At 44.4% G+C, this 26,195-nt stretch overlaps 1 protein-coding gene and 1 long non-coding RNA gene across 3 annotated transcripts in view; one reads left to right on the forward strand and one right to left on the reverse strand.

The window, feature by feature from the left end:
- Window positions 1-25,500, forward strand: part of ARHGAP31 (Rho GTPase activating protein 31) — a 126,332-nt gene extending 100,832 nt beyond the window's left edge. Inside the window, exons 9-12 of one of the 2 annotated variants that reach the window (NM_020754.4) lie at window positions 3,985-4,047; window positions 6,608-7,183; window positions 14,282-14,562; window positions 18,642-25,500. In NM_020754.4, coding sequence (NP_065805.2) covers window positions 3,985-4,047; window positions 6,608-7,183; window positions 14,282-14,562; window positions 18,642-21,050 — 3,329 coding nt within the window. In that variant the 3' untranslated portion in view covers window positions 21,051-25,500. The remainder of the gene's footprint in view (window positions 1-3,984; window positions 4,048-6,607; window positions 7,184-14,281; window positions 14,563-18,641) is intronic. The other variant, XM_006713714.4, reaches the window with a different exon arrangement.
- On the reverse strand, window positions 1,659-14,313 carry LOC124906273 (uncharacterized). The gene is made up of 2 exons (XR_007096027.1): window positions 9,153-14,313; window positions 1,659-7,383 (listed from the first exon to the last, which is right to left on the reverse strand). It is a non-coding gene; the product is annotated as an uncharacterized LOC124906273 (long non-coding RNA).

The following is a 26,195-nucleotide window of genomic DNA, read 5'->3' on the forward strand; positions in this document are numbered from 1 at the left end:
GAAGTCCAGATGTTAGAAACCTTCGTGTTTGCCTGTTAGAGTAAGGAGGGGTGTCACAGTACAGCAGTTACAACGATTTAGGCTGTAAATAATGGCAAATCAATTCAATCAACTTATGCAGTGAGGGAATTTACTGGCTTCTGCAGTTGAACACCCTGATAGAGGGAAGGCTTCAGGGGGTTTAATACAGGGGCTCTGTCATGATTTCTCCATGTTTTCCCCAGCTGTCCCAGCTGTGTCCCCCTTTGGGTCAGCTTCATCCCCAGACTGGCTTCCTTTGCTGTGGCAAAGTGGCTGTAGTAGTTCTAGGCTTTCCCTCTGACTATCCCACTAGGTCCAGAGGGAGAAAGAACATTTCTGGTAGCTTGCTCCTAAGAGCAGGGACCCTTCTTTTCCAGAAGGCCTCATCAAAATTCCCCTTGTCTCGGTATCCTTCACTGAGCCACATGGTTCGGTCCCTGTTGTCAATGGTGTGCCTTGTGCTGATTGGCTTCAGCCTGGGATCCTGAGCCAACCCCTTGCATGAGGAATGGGACTTACACCCAAGAAGTACAAGAGCTATGTGCGAAGGGCAGAAGGGAAATGGATTCTGGGTCTGCATCTGTAATCATCGTATGGCAAAACTCAGCTTACACAAAATGGAAAGATAGCCTGAATGAAGAGGACAGGTTGCCACAAGTATGGCAAGACAGATGCAAATCAGAAAATAGGATTCTTAAGGGAGAAACTGGGGAGAAGAGTACCTGACCAGAAACTCCTAATCTATGAAAAGAGATTTGCTTAAGCACGTCAAAGAGAGAATTTCAGTTGCAGAATCAGTGGTACAGCCATGAAAGAGGTTCACCAGTAATGAAAAGTCAAAAAATAACAAAACAAAACAACAAAAAGGAAATAAGTGGTTTGCTTTGATCTTAGGAAGATTTCCACCCCCATGTGGTTTTCAAAAAGAACAATTCCCAGGCACTGGATCAAATGTTGGTAAACTCACAGGCCAGGGCTTCTCACACCTGGACCTCAGAATCGCCCACAGAGTGGATCACACCATAGCAATTTTGCCTCAGAAGTTCTGTGGTGAGGTCTGAGTATTGGTAATTTTCTAAAAGCTCCCCAGGTGATTCTGATATGCAGTCAGTGTTGAAAGTCACTGGCTTATGATCTTATGAACAAACTAATCAGATCTTCACTAACTGGATGCAGCGGTGAAATTCAAGAACTGTCAGTGTCAATATAAGTGGCTCCCTGTGGCCTTAACTATTGCCTGAAGTGGTTTCTTTTTACCAGAAGAATATTGCTGGCAACTCTGGAAAATAAAGACCAATAGGCTTTATGGTCATAACTTTAGTGGAATCTGTGATTAAAGTTAGGCCATTGAACCCTGTAACAAATGTAATCCACCAGTGTGGTCTCTGTAAGTGGCACGTGAGCTTGCTGTTGAAATATGCATGTGAAAAGGGGAACCAGTGGATTAACATATGTAAATATATGCTTTAAAATTCCATAAATAAAGACATTTAAAAAATTAATTCACTATGAATAGTATTGGGATTGTTTTGGGTGGGGAGGAGTTGGTGAGGGGGTGTTTAACCATATCTAGAAAATGAAACAGGTAAGAAATAAAGTATAGGAAAAAATGGAGAACTGAATTAAGATGCACAAACTTTAGAGCCTTCCAGATATGTGTATTTTAATTGATTCCATTTAAGTTTTTTGTACATTATTAAAGAGAAAGAAGAGTTCAGAGAACCCTCCAAAATGAACTGTGAGCAGAGAAATCTCAAAGCCATACAGCTATAGCAGGTCCAGGCTCACCTCTGAGTAACGCAGCTAAGAGAGGAGGACTCAAGGACACAAAGGCTGCCAGAAAACTGGGGAGTACACCTCTGTGAGGCCAGGCCAAGGTCCCAGACAGAAACATGTAATATAAATATAGTCATAGGCCACAGGAGCCTGAGCTCTTAGTTAATCTCCAGAAAGGAGGGCAGGGAATGCTTGGGGACTGTCCACCAAGCCACATCTCTGATGTGCTGCTGTGCTCCGCAAGGCCACAAGGAACTGCATCATGAGAAAGAGGCTTCAACACCAAAGGTGGACACCGATGGACCTACAGACAGAGCTGCTACCCGGCCTCTGTGACACAGTCAGGGGCGCCTGGTCACTGCCTATCAAGGTTGACATGTGGAAACCAGAGAAATTCCAGAAATACAGCTCCTGGAAAACAAAGGCAGTGCATGTCCTAGAATACACAAACAAAGGGATGCTGACCAGGTAGTTTCAGGGCAGTAAATCAATTTATAGATTTGTGGAAATAGCAGATCTTCAAAGGATAAGAATTCTGGGGCACATTGGAAGTGAGGAGGTGAAAGGCAATCTCTGCCTTTGCAAAGGATTTGCATGGAGGTGGCTGGGCGTCCCACAGTGGGCCCCAGAAAGAGAGAAGCCTCAAGCTGGGAGACCAAGGGGCTAATTCAGAACCTCCCAGAAGGAGCAGGTTTGGATCAAGGAGGAAGAACAGGGGAACTTTAAACAAGAGACAAAAACAAGCTTGAGTTACAGCTCAATTTTGGTTAAAGCCAACTCTAACTGCTTCTCATAGAACCTTCTCCTGTCTTCCCTTTTGTTGCTGAGCCCTGATCCATCCTGAATAGCAGCAACAACAATCAATAATTATTACTTTTTAATGGGTACTTACTCTATTGCAGATTAGTACAATATAATTACCTTATAGCCATTACCCATTTAATCCTCACAACAACTCTATTTTTTCTCATTTTACACATGATAAAACTGGAGTTTAGTTTAGCTGTCACTTTGGGAGGCCAAGGCAGAAGGATTGCTTGAGTCTAGGAGTTTGAGACCAGCCTGGGCAACACAGTGAGACCCTGTTTCTAAAAAATTTTTTTAAATTAGCCAGGTTTGTTGGTGTGTGCCTATAGTCCTAGCTACTCCAGAAGCTAGGGCAGGAAGATTGCTTGAACCCAGGAGGTTGAGGCTGTAGTGAGCTTATGATCACTCTACCACACTCCAGCCTGGGCAACAGAATAAGACCCTGTCTTAAAAAAATAAATAAATAAAAATAAATTTAAAAAAATGTTTAGCTGCTTGTCTGAGGTCACACAGCCCAAAAGCGGCAGAGCTGGAATTCAAACCCAGATGTTTCTGAATTCAGAGTTACCTTAAGGGCTACTAGTCCTGGGCCTCCTGCTTCCAAGTGCCCTCTTTCCCCTCCTGACAAGCTCGACCTAGAAGGAACTACCTTTCAGCCAGTTCTGTTCCCTGAAAAGAGATGGTGTTTGTGAATGCATCTATGTAATGCTATGCCTGGAATAAATTTTTACTCATTTAAACCACACTCTTCCAAAAAGCTGCTAAGGTGGCTTACAAAGATGCATGGTGCATACCCAGTCACAGAGTAAGTGTGCAAAAAAGGTTTTACTGGAATCTGTTCAGGGTGAAGCTAATGGGTGAGATCACTGGGGAGCACCCAGCCTGCAGGCCTCAAGGAACAGAGCTGCATCCAGCAGAAACCTAACTCCAATTCCCTTGGGCCCTCTCACCTGCTGTACCAAATTTGCAGTAGCTGAGATGTGGTCTCAGCTCTCTGGTCTCTGGCCTGCTGAATACGAAGAATGCCCTGGAGCCTCATGGATTCTACCCCTGGATTCATCCTTGAATACTTTTTGTAAAGTAAAATTGAGCTCAGGAGTCCTCATTTGCTATGAGCTATTTGACAAAATTGCAATTTACCTTTATTGTAAAATATTAATAAAACTTTGATCTATAACTGCCCTGAGTTTATTAGGTCTGTCGCATTAAGAAAGTAGGAACATCTAGGGTGGAGTAGAGGAATGTTTCCAAGGGGATCAATTATACTTGAAAAACTTTCCTAAAGAATTTTGTCTTGGGTACTTAAACAGCCTGACCTATTTTTCTGAATGCTTTCTGTTAATATGCATTCATCAAGGATATTTTTTCTTTTGTCTTTAGTGGAAAAGGCTACTATCCGACCAGCTAAAAGCATGGACTCACTATGTTCAGTGCCTGTGGAAGGTAAGATTTTACAAGTAGTTTCTGAGTTGGAGATTACAACTAGGAGGCTGGAGCTCACTTGCCTTTATAAGCTGTCATGCCTGCTTCTCTATAGTCACAGTCACACACAACTACCTAGTCCCAAATCCCTCACTGACCCTACCCTAACTCAAGGGGTTCACATAGCCCCATAACCTCCCCTACCTTACTCCAGGGCTAGGCCTAAAGAGCCATCCTCTTTGCCCATCCTTCCTCTAGCCACAGCTGAAGTCCATGGCTACTTTTCATTCAAACCTGAACCAGGTAAAAGGTCAACACCTGAAACCTAAGGCAGAAGAGTCTTCCCCTTTGGGCAGAAAGAAAGAGCCAAGCATTGGTTTATGCCCTATGGTTTTATGCCTAGAGGCCTATGTATCTTGAACTTGGCTGTTTCCATATGCTTTCGCTTCCTAGTTTTTGTGTCAAGTCATGATTTTCAGTTGGTAGGTTCATTCATGTATCTATTTATTCATTCATTTATTATGTATCATTAAACATTAATTAGGCACCAGCTATGTATCAGCCATGTGCAAACCACAATATCCTTTGTTGGAGTAGACGTGTATACAGTTGCACATGAGGTAACACCGACCACCAAAATAACACATAACATTTGTTCTCACAGCTGTATCCTTCAGGGCTGACTTGCCTGTATCTCTCTCTTCTATTTCTGTTAAGTAACCAACAAGCACCATTACAAATTACAAGGCAAAGGACTTGTCTGGCAACAGACTGTTAAAACTCCCCTATACTTATCCCATGACTTTCCAGCCCCTTTAATACAAGACATTTTTCTCTTTCAAAAATGGGTCAGACCAAAACAATACAGAAAATCTTTAGAACAACATTTTAAAAATAATTCTAAACCCGGGCCGGGTGTGGTGGCTCATGCCTGTAATCCCAGCACTTTGGGAGGCTGAGGCAGGTGGATCACTTGAGGCCAGGAGTTCGAGACCAGCCTGGCCAACATGGTGAAATCCTCTCTGTACTAAAAAAAATACAAGAAATTAGCCAGGCGTGGTGGTGCATGCCTATAATTCCAGCTACTCAGGAAGCCGAGGCACAAGAATCACTTAAACCCAGGAGGCAGAGGCTGAGGCACGAGAATCGTTTGAACCCAGGAGGCAGAGATTGCAGTGAGCTGAGATTGCGCCACTGCACTCCAGCCTGTCTCAAAAAAAAAATAATAATAATTCTAAACCTGTATAACACTCAGTGAGATCTTCTTAAGTTAACTCGATACTTTCAGCATTTTCTTACTTTTATATTCATCTATTTGCTTTGGTTTGGAAACTTCTTGGCAGTTATTGCCCAGTTTTGCAGGAGTTAATATTTCAACATATAGGTTTTTATATACATGGCATGTGAGTATTAGGTCATCTAACTGCTGAGTCTCGATGTCCTCATGTGTTAAAGATCATTACACTTCCTTACAGGGTGGTCATAAGAATTTTAAGCATACAGTTATGTAAGATGCCCAGTTTAGTGCTTAGTACCAAGTTAGAAATTATTTTCTAGATTCCTGGCAACTCGCGTATCATCTCCAAGCTTATTTACTTCCCACGTAGGCTTTTCTCTTCCTTGCCTTTATTTCTAAGTCAAGAACTTGGTCTGGGCATAGTGGCTCATGCCTGTCATCCCAGCACTTTGGGAGGCCGAGGCAGGCAGATCACCTGAGGTCAGGAGTTCAAGACCAGCCTGGCCAACATGGTGAGATCTCCTCTCTACTAAAAATACAAAAATTAGCCGGGCGCGGTGGCAGGTGCCTGTAATCCCAGCTACTCAGGAGGTTGAGGCAGGAGAATCACTTCAACCCGGGAGGTGGAGGTTGCAGTGAGCCGAGATCACGACACTGCACTCCAGCCTGGGCGACAGAGCTGTACTCCATCTCAAAAAAAAAAAAAAAAATTCACTCCTCACAACTGTGCTTTCTAACAGTTAGTTAATTTACATTTCTAGTTTCTCATCCTCTGAATCAACAGGAAGAAGCCTGAGAAAAGGTGGGGAAGGTCTAGTTGTTAATAGCATTTGTTTCCTTGCTGGGAAATCAAACCCCCCTGTCTGGGTCCATCTGCCAGAGAAAACTTAAAACAAAAAGTTTTAAAGTTCTAAAATAAGACAAGATTCTGTTTATTTTTCCTTTTTGTCTTCTTCATTTTGAGCAAACATCATCCTACCGCCTCCCATCTGTCTCTTTATTTTTTCATGGTCTACATTTAATGCCTAGTAGATGATGGCTCTGTTTAGCAACTTTAGCAGTAATCTTTTTTTGAAAACTGCTCTACCTGCAAAGTTTAAAAGTGATCTGTATGGCACAACAGCAAATGAACCTACCAAAGCATCATGCTGAAATTCTGTGCATATGAGGAAGTGCTTTCTCTTTTGTCATCCAGATGTTACCTGTCTTTATCTGGGCGGTTATGCCCCTGTTAGAATGCTGTGCCTCTCTAGTATTCAAATGTCGTGTGCCTGCCCTTACTGGAAGGCCTGCTATTGTATGTGTGCCCCGGCTGCTGACCATACACTTGTTCCTTTTTACTAGGAAAAGAAACCAAGGGAAATTTCAATCGAACAGTTACCACCGGTGGATTTTTCATTCCAGCAACAAAGATGCACTCCACCGGCACCGGCAGCTCATGTGACCTCACCAAGCAGGAGGGCGAATGGGGCCAGGAGGGGATGCCTCCCGGGGCTGAGGGTGGCTTTGATGTGAGCAGTGATCGCAGCCATCTCCAGGGCGCTCAGGCCCGGCCCCCACCGGAACAGCTGAAGGTTTTCCGGCCTGTTGAGGATCCGGAGAGCGAGCAAACAGCCCCAAAGATGTTGGGTATGTTCTACACTTCGAACGACAGCCCTAGCAAATCCGTCTTCACCAGCAGCCTCTTCCAGATGGAGCCCTCGCCGCGTAACCAGCGCAAGGCGCTGAACATCTCCGAGCCCTTTGCGGTATCTGTGCCGCTCCGCGTGTCCGCAGTCATCAGCACCAACAGCACGCCGTGCAGAACACCCCCGAAGGAGCTGCAGTCTCTTTCCAGCCTGGAAGAGTTTTCTTTTCATGGATCAGAGAGCGGAGGCTGGCCAGAAGAAGAGAAACCGCTGGGAGCTGAGACTTCTGCAGGTAAGTAGAGGAGAGAGGGTATCTTTCCGTTGCAAGAGAGAAAAACCAGACTTAAATTTGCTTGAGTTTGCAAGGCAATATAGTGCGGTGGTTAAGCCTGTGGGCTCTAGAGCCCGATTGGGTACAAATCCACGCTCTGCCATTTTACTGCGTGATCTTCAGCAGGTTAATGTAACCACTCTGTGCCTCGGTTTCTTAATCTGTAAAATGGGAATAATTATGTTAATAATACCTTTTTCATAAGTTTGTTGTAAATATTAAATTATTTAATACATATGAAGCTCTCAGAACAGTGTCTACATACAATAAGTATATAATAAATATTACCTATTATTATTTTATTTGCTCACAGAGTGAGAAGGCAGGAGAAAAACTCACAGAATGGAATGCAGAGCTGCAGAGCTGGAATTGGGGATTCAGTTCTTCCAGTCTCCTTCTCTTTCCATCCACCCATCCTTATTTCTACTTTATATTTGCAGACAACATGGCTAGCAACCCTAGCAACGAGAAAGAGCATCCCTCTCCCAATTTTCTGATATCAAATGCAGGAAGGATTCTGATTGGATCTGCCTGAGTCCCATGCCCAGCCTTGGACCAATCACTGTTTCCAGCTAATTGGGTTCTGAGATTGGCCAGACTTGAGTCTCTGGGTGTGTCTGGAGTGAAGAGAGTTTCTTTAATTAACAAGCAAACATGGGCCACATAAAATGGAAGCAGGGAGAACCCCAAAGGAAAGGGTGGCTGACAATCAAACCAACAAATGTTTATTGTGATTTAGGAATGTTTCTTTTCCGTTAATATTAGTCATTTTCAGCACCTATTAGGTTGTCAGGCACTCTCCTAAGTGTCCTGCAAATATTATCTCATTTCTCCCCTCTATCCTATGATATAGATAGTCACTATTATCCCCATTTCCTTAAAGAGGAATGGTTTATTTGCTGAATCACTCATAGCAAGGAAGTGGAAACACCAGGATTTTAATCCAGACTTTAAAAAAATCCATGCTTGTAACACTATACCACGCTCCCTCCTGTGTTCACTATGGGCTGTGGAGTTAAAAGATTGTTAAGACATGATCCCTTCCCCACAGTGAGCTCAAAAACTAAGAAGGGAAATTGAAACTCTGCACTGAAGTTCAGCACAGGGTCAGCCTATGGAAGCAGCATAAGAGCCTCCTCAGGATTTTTGGAATTAGGGAGGGGTTAGGTACCCAAAGCATCATGAAAGAGGTGTTCCTAACAGATGGCAAGGGCATGAAGGAGAGACAGTCCTCTCAGGAGGATTCCAGGAAGATTTAGAAGAGGTGACATTTGGACTGAGCCTTCATAAATGGGTAGGGTTTCTCCATGCAGAAAAGAAGAGAAAGGGCATTCTGAGCAGCTACATGTTGTGGGAAGTATGTAGGTTTTGGAACCCAACTGGGCTGATTCGGATGCTAGCTTTACTGCTTTTTGTCAGTTTGGCAGTGGGAAATTTTGGAGCCTGTTTCTCATCTGCAAAGCTGGGGAGACTCCTATCCCAAAGGCTGTAGTGAGGTCTGAATGGGAAAATGTCCATAAAATACCTGTCCATAGTTTGGCTCACAGAAGATGTGAGTAAATATTAGTCCCTTCCTCCCATTTCCTTTCAGGATGGGTACGCAGATGAGCAAATCTCGGGGTATCAAGTGATGCCTTGTCTGGAAAACGATGTCATGGGCTGGTGTGGGTCATGGGCAGCAAGATGTCATGGGCAGCAGGATGAGGGATAGGGGAGGGAGTGAAGGCTTTGAGGAAAACAGTGTTTCCAAAGGCTTTTGTGAGATTTGTTATCCTCTCTGGAAGAATAGGTCTCTGGGCCCCATGGGGTCTTTTAGAGACAGTCTGTTATCCGTTTTTCCCCCTCTCTCCTCTCTATAAATAAGAATACACATTTTGTATTAAGTTGGTCTGGGAAAGACACTAATGGAGACTCCAGCCTGCCTTCCTACCTGTGGCCAATGGGCAGTCAGGGCAGAAAGAGGGGCCTTGTGGAAGGCAGCCATCCAGATCTGAGACTGAGGGTGGAAGGGGGCTGCTGAGAGGCTCAGGGGCAACAGGTCCCCTCACCCTGCTCTCTGACGGGGTGAGGTTAACTTCAGTGTCTTATCTTCTTCCATGATTATTCCATGTGGAGAACTTCACCTTCATTAATTAAATATTTTTCTTTCTGTTGTGCAGTAGCAGGGGGCAAAAGAAAAAGAATTAAAGGCAATTTTCCAGGTTACCCAATTAAACTTTTAGTTGCTCTGGTCAAACCAACTCTCCCACTTTTGGCCAATCTAAGTGAAATTCCAGTGTGACCCAAAGCGTAGAGATACCGAGTAAGTAGTGCATTTTAACTAAAGTTAAATGATTGTAAATACTGATTACTCTGAATGAAAAAATTGAAGGATTAATCAATGTAATCATCATGGTTGATTATCTGACTTTTACCTGATTCAAGAGCATGTCCTGCTAACCTCATCCTCAGCTGGTGGGGAGAAAGGACAACAAACCGAATCCTTCTGAAAGTGAAGGATGAGCTTATGGGCTGGTTTAAAAATTACAACCGACACTCTCTGCATCCCCTTCTAGAAACGCTTGTTAAGGAAGATCAGAATAAACATATAGCTTTACAGAAACTTGATAAATGAAAATCCAGAATTTCCCTAAGAGATATTAGGAGTTGCCCCATTCTTTTACTAAAGAACTTACAATAGAATTCTCTTAGTTCTATTTTAGTGCATCTGAAATATGATTCTATAACACCTACAAAAATTTGTTTTGCCCTATTTTTTTTAATCAGGAGCAAGCCTACCTTATAAACTCATTAGTTGATTCTATTAGTTAAGGTACAGGCTAAGCTGCTATAATATAGAAAATAAAAAATACAGCGGCTCAAACAAGATAGAAGTTTATTTCTATCTTACACACAAGTCCAGAATAAGGTGACTGTGATGCAGGAGATCTGAGGTTCCAGGCTCCTTCAGCCATACCCAGGGGTGTTGTCCTTGTCTGCATGGTCAGAGTAGGCTCACCCCCACAGTCACATTCCCACCCATGGGAAAGGGCTAGAGGAAGAAGCCAAGCAGCTTCCACTTAAGGATGTCACCTAGAAGCTGCACACATCGTTTCCACTGCCTCCCATCTGCCAAACATATTTCACATAGCCACACTACCCTCAGGAGGCTGAGGAATGTCACTAGATGGAAAACCATGTGCCCAGCTAAAACCTGGGGGGTGGGGGAGGTTCTAGCTCCAAATAAAGAAGAGGATAGATATTGGGCAACGATTATCAATCTCTGCCTCTATGGTCACCCGCTTTGTGTATAATGTGTCACATGCTGGGAACGTGACAATGCCCTTCCCTTTTGAGCTATAGAGATTTCTTGTAGTTTACAAGTAGCCACCAAATCTGTCAGCCAACAAAAATTTGTTGAAGATTTTCAGGTAATTTTTAGGAATAGATACTGCCTCTGTTCTGAGGAACTTACCCAAGGATAGAAGCCATGTACCTGAAAAGAGATCATGGTAACCTGAGGACTGTGCAGCACATAAATAATAACACTGAGTGCTAAGTGACATGGTATGGGAAAGCTACAAAGAGATGTTGTTAGGTTTATGTCTTGAGGAATGGATTCAATTGGAATCACTGGGAGGACCAAAGCAGGGGAGAACAAGGCCTGTTAGGGGAGTGTGAGAAGAGAGGACATGTGGCTGGGCCACAGTGAGATGGGCTTTGCATGCCATAATGGAGGCAATAGGGAGCCATTGAGGGTTTTCAGCAAGGGAGTGAGTGATAGGTACAAACTCATGGTTAGCACGGGCCCTTCCTTCACACCTCAAACAGGAGTCCATATTAATGGTCATGGTCAATGGAAAGAAGCTCTACAAAAAGGGACACTGGCAAGTTCCTCCAACTACTAGATTTAGAAGAATGTTAAAAAATATATATTTAAAAATTATGGATGCATTTACCCTTTCACCCAAAAGTTTCACTCCTAAGAATTTATCCTAAATAAATGGTTGCATAAATACAAAATGATGTTTGCACGTCATGGCATTATTTGTAATAGCAAAGGACTGGAAACAACCCAAATGCCCCGCTTTAGGGGTCTGGTTGAATAACTAGGGTGCATCCACACAGTGAAGTTCTATAGAGTCCATAGCTTTGTGAGCCTTGCACCACATTCCCCCAAACTCCAGCGAATCTGTCGGGGACAGTTTCTGTGCACATGAAAGGCACCTATCTCAGATGTCTGCCTTGCGTTTCTGGTTTTCTGCCTCAGAGCATTTTATGAAGGGATTGGCTCACTCAGCCTTTGCGTGGGACAGCCCAGAAGCATGGAGAATTAACTGGGGTAGCTCTCAAGTAATACAAGCCAGGAATCAGTGGATAAATGACACACCTTCTCATTGTTTGGAGGGATTGTTGTAAGACACATTCTACATAGTGCTTCTTAGGGTTACCAGGGATTGAGTCCCAGTTGCTGAAAATGGGAATGAACTCAACAAAATACTCTTTATTGACTTTTCCTCCGTCCCTCTCACTTTCTCATTTCTTCTTCCTGGGACCACTTTCTAAATAAGCCACCTGCTACTAGGACCCTATTTCAGGATCTGCTTTGAAGGAAACCCAAATGAGGCCACATCATAAAGAATGATCATGCTGGGCGCGATGGCTCACATCTGTAATCCCAGCACTTTGGGAGGCCGGGGTAGGCAGATCACCTGAGGTCAGGGGTTTGAGACCAGCCTGGCAAACATGATGAAACCCCGTCTCTACTAAAAAATACAAAAATTAGACAGGTGCAGTGGCAGGCACCTGTAGTCCCAGCTACTAGGGAAGTTGAGGCAGGAGAATCACTTGAACCCAGGAGGCAGAGATTGCAGCAAGCTGAGATCGCACCACTGCACTCCAGCCTGGGCGACAGAGCAAGACTCCATCTCGAAAAAAAAAAAGAAAGAAAGAAAAAAAAAATAAAGAAAAAAAGAAAAAAAAATGACTGATCTCCCTCTCTACTAACATGGCATGGGCTTGGTTCAAGATATGTTAAGTGAGAAAATGTAAAGCAAACAACAATCTGTATCACATAGTGTATTTTGTGTACTAAGGATGGGAAACAAAAATATATGCAAGTATCTGTTTACATATGCAAAAATAAACTCTGGCAGAATAAACCAATAAGCTAATAAAAGTAGTTATCTATAAGAGACAGTGGGAGTGTGGAACAAACCAGAAGCAACAGGGATGAACACATGGTGGGTGACCAAGGAGAGGTTGGTCTGGGAAGCCTTGAAAGAGGTGTTGTTAGGTTTGTCTTGAAGAATGGGTTAGATTGCAACCAACCACAGGGAGGACCAGAGCAGAAGAGTGCAAGGCCTGGCAGGGGGACTGGTAGAGTAGCAGACATGTGGCTGGGCCAGCAAGAAGGGGCCTTTTTATATACAGTGGGCCCTCGACAGTCAAAGGTTCCACATCCATGGATTGAACCAATCACAGATCAAAATTCTCCAGAATAAAAAATTGCATCTGTACTAAACATGTACAGATTTTATTCTTGCCATTATTTCTTAAACAATACAGTATAACAGCTATTTGCATGGCATTTACAGTGTATTACATATTACAAGCAACCTAGAGATAAGCAACCTAGAGATAAGCAACCTAGAGATAATATTACATATTATATAAGCAACCTAGAAAACAAAAAGATGTGCATAGGTTATATGCAAATACTATGTATGCCATTTTATATCAGGGACTTGAGCACACATGGATTTTGGTATTGGGGGGAGGTCCTGGAACCAGTCGCCCCATGGATACCAAGGAATGACCTGTAGTTTTAACTTTTGAACTCTGTAAATATTTTACATATTCAAAGATAAAACTGAATTTCAGGAAATAAGCCTGCAAAGTGATGGGCAAAAGGAAATACCACTATTGTGAATTCTGAAGCATTTTAGTTCAGACATCAGAATGCTGTCACTAGATCTGAGTTGCTGGGCTGGCCTTGCGGTGAGACACCTCAGAGTGAAGACACCAGTGTAAACAATGGCAATGAGTGGTTTGGTCTTAACCAATCTTAACCAACAAACTTTTCTGAGCTTGTGCTGTGTGCCAGACACTGCTATATGCTTTGTCTCCATTGTCTACTTTATCCTCACATCAGCCCTGAAAAGCAAGTCTTATGATGCCTTTGTACCAAGATTACAAGATTCATTGAGAAATTAGCATTTGAACCCAGGTTTCTTTAATACCACTGTAAATGGTAATTTTTCTTAAGGGCCTGCTATGTGCCGAGCACAGTCCTGGGTACTCACTCAGTCTTTAATCCAGAGTGTGGAAACAGCTTTATGCAAAGAAATGGGGCTTTCCTTCATGCAAAGCAATAGAGGCCAAACTTGAGATCTGCCTGCTTCTTCCTGATCTCGTAGATGTTTAAGAACAGAACTTAATCACTTTGGATAGATCCAAATTGACAGGAGATAACCCCTGGGAAGAGTCACACAGGAAGCTGTTAATCATAATTATAAGAAGCAAGATGTGAATAATAGATTTTTGTAACCTTGGGCACCTAGATAGACTTCTCGAAGTCTGACTAGTTATTTGAGAAGTCAGAGACTGGGCTAGAGCACGGTGTCTCAACTTCAGCACTACTGACATTTTAGACTGGATAAGTCTTTGTTGTGGGGCAGGTTCTGTGCAGTGGAGGATATTTAGCAGCATCCATGGCTTCTAACCACTACATGCCAGTAGCATTCACCCCTCCCCAATGTTGTGGCAACCAAAAAAATGTCTCCAGACATTGCCAAATGTCCACTGGAAGAAGAAAACGGTAGGAGCAAGATGGTCCCTGGTTGAGAACCACCGGACTAGGTGATCTTTGAGGTCCCTTCCTTCTTTGACAATCTGTAACTCTGGGAACTCAGGCCAGGACATTGCTAGGATAAAAGAGTAAATGCAAGGGGCGGTGAGCTGAGGGAATTCCCTCCATCCTTCTGAAACAGGGCCAGGAGACAGGACAGTGACTGTGTTGGGAAGAGTCTCTCTTGAAATGAAGTCTCCTTTAACTGATAACTCTCATTTTCACTGCAGCTTCTGTACCTAAGAAGGCAGGTCTTGAGGATGCCAAGGCAGTACCTGAAGCACCGGGGACAGTGGAATGCAGCAAAGGCCTGTCCCAGGAGCCAGGCGCCCACCTGGAGGAGAAGAAAACCCCAGAAAGCTCCTTGAGCTCTCAACATTTAAATGAATTAGAGAAGAGGCCAAATCCGGAGAAGGTGGTGGAGGAGGGACGAGAGGCTGGTGAGATGGAGTCCAGCACCCTGCAGGAGAGCCCCAGGGCCAGAGCCGAAGCTGTGCTTCTCCATGAGATGGTAAAGTGCATTCTCCACCTGCTCCAGCCAGGTGGAGTTATTTTTTCCCAAGGGCTCTTGGTACAATTTAAAGTAAATTGAAAAAAAATTTTTTTTTGAAAAATCAGTTTCTGCCAAAGGGACTTTAAGAGACAAACTTGTAATGAAGGTCTGAGATTTGTTTTGCAGTGGACTTTTCAGAAGTCCTGCAGTGATGGGGAGGAAACATCCTGTTCAGATTCCCTAATACAGACTCAACTCTAAATATTCCTGACCTGAGGTCACCATAAGCCAGTAACATGTCTTTGGAATGTAATGACATTCAATCCCAGAAGCAGCACAAGACCTGCTTGTCATACCCCAGTCCCAAATATCATGATCAGTCACAGAGTCCAGCCTTCTTCTTCTGGACATCCTGGATGGGCAGTTGTCTACACTTATTTCCAAAACAATAAATATTTCCAGGATCCATTCTTTCCTTCCGTGGGCTCTGGAGAAGTTAAAATACAATGCTGGAGCTGACTAAACCTTGTCTACTTTTTAGAGGTGGAATTTTCCAAGAAGGTTTTTATGGGATGTCCTTCAATAGAAAGTGTGAGGAGGTTTTCCAGGGATACCCAAGGAGGAGTCCTGCATTTGAGAGGCAGCTCTGTGACCAGAGGAGGGCACCAGAAAGGAGGATGCCTTTGAACTTGCTTCCAGAGTCTTGATTTTCAGGACGTGCACAAAAGAACCATGTGCTGGGAGTTAGGGCAGAGTGGAGTGCCATGGAGGCCTCAGGATGGCTGAGCTAGGGTCTCTATAAGATATATTGGCATTTGTTGAAGGGGAAAGATGAAGAGATTCATATGGGGATTGATTGAATTATTACAGGGAGGACCCTGTAGGAATGAATGGCATTGCTTTGAGAAGCAGGTAAAGTTAGTGCTGGAAAGAGAACCGGGTGGATTCAAGGGAACAAGTAAAGGCATCAGTTCATTCATTCATTCAAAACATGTATTTAACATGAACTTTGTGCCAGGCACTGGCATCACTGTAGTGAACAAGGCTTTAACCATCCCTGCCTTCTTGGAGCTAACAGCCTAGTTGGGAAAAGATTGAACAAGTAATTCCTGGGGTGCTATGGAAGCATGGAGTGCATGGGAGCACATAGCAAGAGGACCCAACCTAGTCAGAGGGAGGAGGCATGCCACAAGGGTCGGGGAAAGCTTCTCTGTAGAGTGCATATTCAGGCAGATAACTTAGATGGAAGAAAGGGGCAGTGGGTGGACTAGGAAAGGAGAGACCTCCAGGCAGAAAGAATAAGATGTGCCATGAATCCAAGGTAGAAAAGAGCATTCCCATTCAAGGAATGGGAGCAAGGCTGGGATAGCTGGGCTGGAGAAAGTGAGACTCAGGGGGATGCAGGAGCCAGGACTTCTTGGAAGGGATTTGGGGTTTAACCTAAGGGCAATGGGAAAGCATATGAGGTGTTCAGAATTTTGTCTTTAATGGGTCATTCTATTCTGTGTGGAGAATGGCTTGAAGAAAGGAGGCACGAATGCATCAGGAGGGGAGTATGTGGTAAGCCAGGAGAGAAAAGCTGGAGGTGTAGACTAGTGTGGGGCCATGGGGATAGAAATGAAGGGCTACAATCACTATTTAGAAGGTAGAATGGACAGGACTTGTTGAAGGATTAGATAAGGGCTGAGAAAGAAGGAAACGTCAAAGGCACCTCATAGGTTTCTGGTTTGAGCAAAGAGATGCACTGTGGGTCCACTTACTGAGAGGGCAGAGTGAAGTGGAAGGGAGTTTAGATGTTCATTTGTTCATCTAAATTTATGGTTTCTCAGTATTGATTTCTTAGTAATATCCCAGTTAATGTAGGTGCTGAGGAGAGTAAAGAGATGAAGCTGTCCCCGCTCCGAAGGAGGGCACAGTCTAGTAGGCAAAATAGAAATGTTCACAAATAAATGCAGTGTGGTAGAAGCAGATTAATTTTGATAAAGTAATCCCACAGAGATATGTGAAAGAAATAATCCAAAAGAAAACACTGAATCCATTACAGTTCAGCAGACCCTTTATTGAGCCCCCATTCACAGTATACCAGGCACCTTTTGGCCTTGTTGAATCAAAGATGAATAAACACAATCCTGACCTCAAGAAGCTCACAGTCCATTGGGAATAATAAGACAAGCATTAAAGTAACTGTAATATGAAACAACAAGTGATTAGAGCTAGGTGAGAAGGGACGAGAGGTCAGCAGCAAAAATTACTTTCACAAAGGCCTGTGCCATCCCAGGATGGAGATTCGTCCCCCGGCTGCCTCGCCCTGGGACAGAATTAGGCCTTGAGGCAAGAAATGAAAGAAATTGGGCCAGGCATGGTGGCTCACACCTTTCTGAGCACTTTGGGAGGTTGAGGCGGGCGGATCACCTGAGGTCAGGAGTTTGTGACCAGCCTGGCCAACATGGTGAAACCCCATCTCTACTAAAAATACAAAATTAGCCGGGTGTGGTGGCACATGCCTGTAATCCCAGCTACTTGGGAGGCTGAGGCAGGAGAATCGCTTGAACCCGGGAGGAGGAGGTTGCAATGAGCCGAAATCATGCCACTGCACTCCAGCCTGGGTGACAAAAGTGAAACTCTTTTGTCTCAAAAAAAAAAAAAGAAAAGAAAGAAAGAAATTGAAATTGGTTGTCCTGGCCCTGAGCAGGCCTCCTTCCATCCTTTTCCTGTCTATAGCTTTGGGCCTTATGTAGGGAAAGGGAGGAGTCTAGAAGGACAAAGGGAAGCTGGACTTGAGGGGAGACAAGGACAGCAAGCAAGGTGGAGGAGTAGGCAGTTCCACAAACCACAACAAAGAAATCCCCATCATGTTAACAGTGGTTATCTGTGGGGAGTAAGGATGTATGATTTTGATGTCTTTGTATTTGCCTTTATTTTAATATGTATTCATATTTTTTTCCATGTGAAATATGTATTTCCTTGGTAATAAGAAAAAAGAGACTGGGCGTGGTGGCTCACACCTGTAATCCCAGCACTTCTGGAGGCCTAGGTGGGAAAATTACTTGAGCCCAGGAGTTTGAGACCAGCCTAGCAACATGGTGAAACCCCATCTCTACTAAAAATACAAAAATTAGCCGGGTGGCACAGGCCTGTAATCCCAGCTACTTGGGGGGCTGAGGCAGGAGAATTGCTTGAACCCAGGAGGTGGAGGCTGCAGTGAGCTGAGATCACGCCACTGCACTCCATCCAGGGCAATAGAGCGAGACTCTGTCTCAAAAAAATAACATTAAAGGCCGGGCATGGTGGCTCACACCTGTTAATCCCAGCACTTTGGGAGGCCAAGGTGGGTGGATCACAAGGTCAGGAGTTTGAGACCAGTCTGGCCAACATAGTGACACCCCATCTCTACTAAAAATACAAAAAATTAGCCAGGTGTGGTGGTGTGCACCTGTAATCCCAGCTACTTGGGAGGCTGAGGCAGAAGAATCGTGTGAACCCAGGAGACAGGGGTTGCAGTGAGCTGAGATCACACCATTGCACTCCAGCCTGGATGATAACGCGAGACTCTGTCTCAAAAAAAAAAAAAAAAAGAAAATTAAAAAAGAACGATATTTACTTATTTGGAAAGCAGGTGTCAGGGTAAGACTTAACATTTTCATTCCACTGGAAGACTCTCATTCTTGTGTGCCTTCTAATGAACCTGAAGTTAAATGAGACCAGGGTTTTTGTTGTTTTATAAGGCAACAGTGCATACAGATTAGGTACTTACGTTCTGGTGTAGACAGAACTGGATTTCAATCCTGGTGTGCTGCTGTATGACTTAGATAAATTGTTTAATCTATTTGAACCTACACCTCTCATCTATAAAATGGGAGTAATTATAGTAGTGTTTATTTCCTAGAGTAGTTGGGAAAATTACACAAGATACAGCTAAAGTATGTGATGGTGCATGGTGAGCACTCAAATAGCCACAGGTATTATCGGTGCTGCATCCTGTATTTGCTGAACTGGCACAGGCTGGTGCTGTCAGTCCCTTCCCTCTCACTGGAAACGCTGATGTCAGCACCCAGAGTACTTAGTTCTAAGACAATCAGTTTATTGATGTTTTTCAGGATGAAGATGATCTGGCCAATGCCCTGATCTGGCCTGAGATTCAACAGGAGCTGAAAATCATTGAATCTGAGGAGGAGCTCTCATCGTTGCCACCTCCTGCTCTGAAGACCAGCCCAATTCAGCCTATTCTCGAGTCGAGTCTGGGGCCCTTTATTCCCTCAGAGCCTCCTGGGAGCTTGCCTTGTGGCTCCTTCCCTGCTCCAGTCTCCACCCCTCTGGAGGTGTGGACTAGGGATCCAGCCAATCAGAGCACACAGGGGGCTTCCACAGCAGCCAGCAGAGAGAAGCCGGAACCTGAGCAGGGCCTGCACCCAGACCTCGCCAGCCTGGCTCCTCTGGAAATAGTTCCTTTTGAGAAGGCATCTCCACAAGCAACAGTGGAAGTAGGAGGCCCAGGCAATCTGTCTCCTCCACTCCCACCTGCTCCTCCCCCTCCAACTCCTCTGGAGGAGTCAACTCCAGTCCTGCTTTCAAAGGGCGGCCCGGAAAGAGAAGACTCATCCAGGAAATTGAGGACAGATCTCTACATAGACCAGCTGAAGTCCCAAGACAGCCCTGAGATCTCTAGCCTCTGTCAGGGAGAGGAGGCAACCCCAAGACACAGTGACAAGCAAAATTCAAAGAATGCTGCTTCTGAGGGGAAAGGCTGTGGTTTTCCAAGCCCAACCAGGGAGGTTGAGATCGTCTCACAAGAAGAGGAGGATGTAACCCATTCAGTACAGGAGCCTTCAGACTGTGACGAAGATGACACTGTGACAGACATTGCCCAGCATGGCCTGGAGATGGTGGAGCCCTGGGAGGAACCCCAGTGGGTGACGAGTCCCCTTCACTCTCCCACCCTGAAAGACGCGCACAAGGCCCAGGTACAGGGCCTTCAGGGTCACCAGTTGGAGAAGAGGCTTTCCCACAGGCCCAGCCTTCGCCAGAGCCATTCTCTAGATAGCAAACCCACGGTTAAAAGCCAGTGGACTCTCGAGGTTCCCTCCTCCAGCAGCTGTGCTAATCTTGAAACAGAGAGGAATTCTGACCCTCTTCAGCCCCAGGCACCCAGGAGAGAGATTACTGGATGGGATGAGAAAGCCCTGAGGTCCTTCAGAGAGTTCTCTGGCCTGAAAGGGGCAGAGGCTCCTCCCAACCAGAAGGGACCAAGTGGTGTGCAACCCAACCCAGCAGAAACCAGCCCCATCAGCCTAGCAGAGGGAAAGGAGCTAGGGACACACCTGGGGCACAGCAGTCCACAGATTAGGCAAGGTGGTGTTCCTGGGCCAGAGAGCAGCAAGGAGAGTTCACCCAGCGTGCAGGACAGCACTTCGCCTGGAGAGCACCCCGCAAAGTTACAGCTAAAGAGCACAGAGTGTGGGCCCCCAAAAGGGAAAAACAGGCCTTCTTCCCTCAACTTGGACCCTGCCATTCCCATTGCTGACCTCTTCTGGTTTGAGAATGTGGCCTCATTTAGTTCACCTGGAATGCAGGTCTCTGAGCCAGGAGACCCAAAGGTCACATGGATGACCTCATCTTACTGTAAAGCAGACCCCTGGAGGGTTTACTCCCAGGACCCCCAGGACCTGGACATTGTTGCTCATGCACTGACAGGCCGCCGTAACTCAGCTCCTGTGAGTGTGTCAGCTGTGAGAACCTCCTTCATGGTCAAAATGTGCCAGGCCAGGGCGGTCCCAGTCATCCCTCCCAAGATTCAGTACACCCAGATCCCACAGCCCCTGCCCTCTCAGAGCTCAGGGGAGAATGGGGTTCAGCCTCTGGAGAGGAGCCAGGAGGGACCCAGCTCAACCAGTGGGACCACTCAGAAACCTGCCAAAGATGATTCTCCCTCCTCCCTGGAAAGCTCAAAGGAAGAAAAACCAAAGCAAGATCCCGGAGCCATTAAGTCCTCACCAGTGGATGCCACTGCACCCTGCATGTGCGAGGGACCTACCCTTTCTCCAGAACCAGGCTCGTCTAACCTGCTCTCCACCCAGGATGCAGTAGTGCAATGCAGAAAGCGCATGTCAGAGACAGAGCCATCTGGGGACAACCTTCTTTCTTCAAAACTAGAGCGACCATCTGGGGGTTCTAAGCCTTTCCACAGGTCAAGGCCAGGAAGACCTCAGAGCCTAATCTTATTCAGTCCTCCTTTCCCCATTATGGACCACCTGCCCCCTTCATCCACAGTGACAGATTCCAAGGTCCTGCTGTCCCCTATCAGAAGTCCCACCCAGACAGTTTCCCCTGGCCTTCTTTGTGGAGAGTTGGCAGAAAACACATGGGTCACACCAGAAGGGGTTACACTTAGGAATAAAATGACCATCCCTAAGAATGGCCAGAGACTAGAGACCTCAACCAGCTGTTTTTACCAGCCTCAGCGGAGATCAGTAATTCTGGATGGAAGAAGTGGGAGGCAAATAGAATGATTTCGGTTCACCTGCTGGTGTCTGAAAAAAACCGTGATTCATCTGGAAGTTATTACAGGGCCAGCTTGCCATATTCCAGGCACACGTTATCAAGTTTGGGCCTATTGTGGCCTCTGACTTCTCTTTCTTCAGCCTTTTGACCACTTATTAATTAGTCCATTTGCTAGAAGAGTGGTCAAGGGAAAAACGAGAGATGAAATTTAGTTAAGTCTATGTGAGCAAGTGAGAGAAGGTTAGGTAAGGGGAGAGGATGGAATGCTTGCCTCCAATGAACTTTGGAGCTTGTATGTGAGTCAGATTGCTCCCCTATTGCTATTATCTATTACTCTTGAGAGCTGGCTGTCCTTTGAAAGAAAGAAGTAATGTTCTTTGAAAGAAAGAAAAATCTCTTGCTGTGTCAAACCTCAAAATGTTGCTATTGGGGTTAGAAGGCCTCCTCTTTATGCTTTTTAATGCTCTTTCAAACGTGTTCTTTTAGACCAGTTTTCTAATAAGCTTTGTAAAATGTACTATCCAAATTAGAAGCGGATTTGGAAATGCAAACTAACGTGCACTTAGATATCCAAGTGGGTGAGCTTAGCCACTCTTACCCATGCTCTTTCCCTGGAATCCCTGGAGACCTGTCCAAGATGATTTCCATATACCAGCATAGAAAATCAGAATCAAGAGCAAACTCTGAGACTGGCACAATCCAAGAAGATTTCCTGGCTCTGGCTTTTAGTAATTTGGGACTCCAACTGCCACTGTACTGGACTGTAATTTATAAATCCAGTAGCTACGCAGGGTGGAGGCTGGGCTGAGGATTACCATAATGAAATGTACTAAATCTTCATTTAGGTATGCAATTGTGAAGTGAAGGCATCTGCTTTCTTTACAGTATCAGAGTCCAAGAACAGGATGTCACCATAGATAAAAGCCTCATACAAAGGCAGAACTACACTCCAAATTTAATGTGTTTAAATTGGTGGGGCACCAGCAGAAAATATTCTAGCTCAGCTTTACTCTTCTTCCACACTAGGCTGGGCCCAGCAATACAGGAGAGGATGAAGGGAGGAGCTCCAGGAGGCGAGGGAAGAGCCCTAGCAGGGCGGCCATCACAACCACTCACTGAGAGTTGCCCTTCTTAAAAATGTATTTTATTTTAGCCAGTGGGTCCCTTCCTTTCTCCTTTCCTCTCTACTGCTCAAGAACAGATTTGAGGCCAGGTGCGGTGCCTCACATCTGTAATCCCAACACTTTGGGAGGCTGAGATGGGTGGATTGCTTGAGCCCAGGAGTTCAAGACCAGCCTGGGCAACACAGCGAGACCCCATCTCTTAAAAAATAACAGACTTGAGGAACCCCTCTCCCTTCCATAATTCCCCTCATCCACCGCCCACTCCAGGCACTCACTCAAACTTGCTCTTCAACTCTGTATACAAGCAGAAGCAATAAACCAATCTGATTTTCTTTTCAATTATTTATAACTTTCAATGGTTCTTTCCTTTCCAGCTGGCGAGAGAAAGGAGAACTAATATACCTGCTGGCAGATTTTTGGTGCTGCCCAAAAAAGGACTTCACAGGGCATCTCTTCTCAGGTTCAAGCCTGGCTGAATTCTGCCCAGAAGCTCAGTCATTGCAGAAATTTCTCTAAGGGCTGATAGTACCTCTGGGTAGGCGTCACAACCAAGGCTGGTTCTGGGCTTAGTGGGGGCTGAGATGAAGTTACCTCCTCCAATGAGAAATTGGGAGCTGATGCCCTGCAACAGATATATATTCCTCTCTCTCTCTGTCTCTCTATCTCTCTCCTCCCTCTCCCTCCCTCCCTCCCCGCCAATAAGCCTTACAAACAGTTTTGAAATCTTGTTCTGTACCTTTTAAGCCAGTGTCTGTGGCGAGGGTGACTGGCAAGTCAGCTGATGAGTTCTGCCTTCTGAGAGCACTGAGTGAGCAAGGCCTTTCATCAGTGTTTTGGCCTTCTCATTGGGTGAGGAAGACATTGAACCAACAGCCAACGAGATATGAACCTGTAAGAAAAAAGTCCTAGAATATAGTATTTTTCCCCAGGCCAGCAAAGTGAAGAAATACAGTGGTGACAGATGAGAAAGGCCATGTTCAAGAGATCTGAAAAGTACATTCCTGCCTTATCAGAAAATGTGTCAGACAGGTTTTATGTCAGCCTCAGTGCTCCTGCGGTGTCGACGCTCTGATAAGGACCATGTTCCAGTTAGAATGCGAGGGAGGGAAAGAGCTGCACTTTGCTTCACCATCAGAACTCTGAGCCAAATAATGAATATGTAAACTATTTTATGATTATTTTAAATGTTTGTTTGGTAACATTTATAAGATCTATTTTTATTTGGGGATAGACTGAGAAGCCACCATTTACATATTAACAAGTGACTTCAGTTCTAAGGGTTGAGATGCCTGTGTGGATTTATAAAATGGTTGCAAGATCTTTTAGACTCTGACATTTATAGCATCACCTTCAGGAACACAGTTCTGGGGATGTCATCATGAGACACACTGACAGCTGTGGAGATAGTCCCTACTCTCAGCTTTCCTTGCTAGTCAAGTCCAAAAGGCCTTAGAAGCTGACTCACCTTCTCAGCCAGAGTCCTGCTGCTCAAGTGTGGACCTCCACTTTGACTCTCACCCAGCCTGCCAGCCATCACAAAGGCTTTCATAAACTTCCTGTGGTCTGGGCTAGCCTGGCACTGATGAAATTCCATTCTAAAGAAAGAAAACTCATATTCCTCCCCCCCACAAATTGTTCCCCCAAATGCTCTGGGATTACCTATTTCACCACTCATTTGAGTCTCCGAAAAATGAACTCCCTGAGAATGGCTGGATGGGAATCAGATAGTCTGCTTCCATTCAGGAGAGGGACAGAACAGGAGCTGCTGTGTTTAGGAGGATTTACCTGGTGCCCTAGAAAGGGCTATGCAATCAAATTCTCAAGGGCTCCTTCAAATCAGCTATCAGTCCTCAAAATGGGGGTTGCTGATGTTAAATGATGGATTTGCAGTGAAACGCATGCATGTACTGACGTTTTCTTTCAGCATTAGTGGTTGCTTAAGAAAATAGTAACCTATATTTTCTGCTACACTTGGAATATGAAGAAATCTGAACAAGAACCCCATTAAGACACCTAACCTAATCTAAACCCTAAAATTCAAAATATTGTCCAAGTCAAAAGTCTAGACTCTGAGGACATTAAAAATGTAAATATCATCATCCTTAGCAAATATTTATTGGGAGCTTAGTAATAGTGCACTGGGTACCTTAGCACTCCCAAATCATTCAAGAGTCTAGTGAAAAAGGGGGAGGGATGGCAGCAAATAAAACACCCCCATAAACAACCAGGAGCAAGGTTGAGAACCATTAAGTTGCCAAACAAAAGCAGAAGGGGAAAAAGTGTGGCAACAAGCATCTTTTAATAGGATAGTTGACGGTATTCAAGTGACCTACTGACTCCAAATAATCAAATTGAACACAATTGCAAATCCAATAGAACATCCCAGTGAGACACTCGGGTATTTGAGAACTTTGCTTGATTTAGAAAACTGGAAAGTGGCAACTAGGCTAGAATAGTGGCAACTAGGTTCGGAGGTTTCGTGTGGTCATAATTGGTTTGGTGAAGTGTGAGATCTCTGCAAATGAGCCAGGTAAGATCAGTATTCCATAGTGCTTGAAAAGGGGATTTTAGAGACTTCTGTCATCACAAAGCAGATTAACTCCTAGTTAATGATGAAGCAGTAGGCCCAAGATAAACTGTTCAATTCAAGATAAATTGTTCTTGTCAGTGTTTGGCATATGATAATCACATTTGGCTAAAATTGGATGGGACAGTCATTTGTCTACACAGGCCTTCCATTCCTGCATGAAGAGATACTGGGGAGCATACAATTATTTTGTCCAGTATTAGAGTGGGAGAAGTTCTCAGTAAGTCCAGTCCCACCAGGATTTATTTGGGCCACATTCTACCACGGCCAGTCCAATCTGATGACCACATGAATTGGGGTTAAGTGTTGCTAAGACTATGATTTTAGACATGTCTGGCAGGAAGGTCAGCTCAAAATGTGGCATGACAAAGAATATGTGCTCTACTACCAAAACCTTTCCTAGCAAAACAAGGCCAGAAGAGGGAGCAAGCATCTTTCCAAGCATGGAGAGGAGGGGGCAATGGTGGAAGGGTGATTGCCTGAAATCAGTGCCAGTACAGATAGCATAAAATTGGGGGCCACCACAGATTGGCTGGCTACTGTGTAGATCATTTAGTAATCTTGAGGTACATTAATAATGCAGAGATTACTTTTCTGTGAGGGTAAGGGGGACGTAGCTAAATATAAGAAGCTTACAAGGTCCATAGCCATGTATTTTACTGGATAAATCACAATGCTTTGCAATAACTTAATGTCATAGTACTTTCTGGCTTATAATTCTGCAAAGTAAAGCACTTTTTCAAAGGAGTCTATTGGAAAGCCACATGATTTCAGCTGTGTTTTAAGCTCTACAAATACGTTTCCAAAGACATAATCAAGATGTAATTCTATTCATTACAAATATAAATATTAAAACTATCCATAGAGACATTTAAGTAATTAAAACAGATTTTTATGCTTTAAAAATAAATACTCTAATAAATGATATAAAATATAATGCTTATGATGGAACTATGAGCTAGAGGAGGACATGGGGTCACCAAAATCAATAATCAGAAAAGTAGATTATATGCACCAGGTTCATTGTTTTAGTTTGTTCTGTTTGATGTCATTTTTTGTTACTTCAATGTTTGATCTCACAGAAAAAGTCCGTGATGATTTGCTTCAGTATATTTTTCTTGTTTTTGTTATTTTACGTACTAATAATTGCCAGATGTCTGCAACTTCACCCTTTTACTGTTGCAGACACATAGTCATGTCACTCAGGAAACCCCGCGTAAGTCCAGGCTATCATAATGAAAAATGAGAAGAATAAAAGCTCATTGCTTCTCAAAACTCCACAGCTTATGGAGGCACATGGGTCCACCTGCACAGATGTGAACTCAACTTTTCTATTACTTGAATCAATCAAAGGGGACTCTTCTTTTATTTGAGTAATTATGTTAATGATGCTCTAGGGGGAAAGGCAAACATTTGTTGTCCTGGCATATATCCTGTTATAT

The sequence above is a fragment of the Homo sapiens genome, chromosome 3, assembly GCF_000001405.40.
Source record: "Homo sapiens chromosome 3, GRCh38.p14 Primary Assembly".
NCBI lineage: Eukaryota > Metazoa > Chordata > Mammalia > Primates > Hominidae > Homo > Homo sapiens.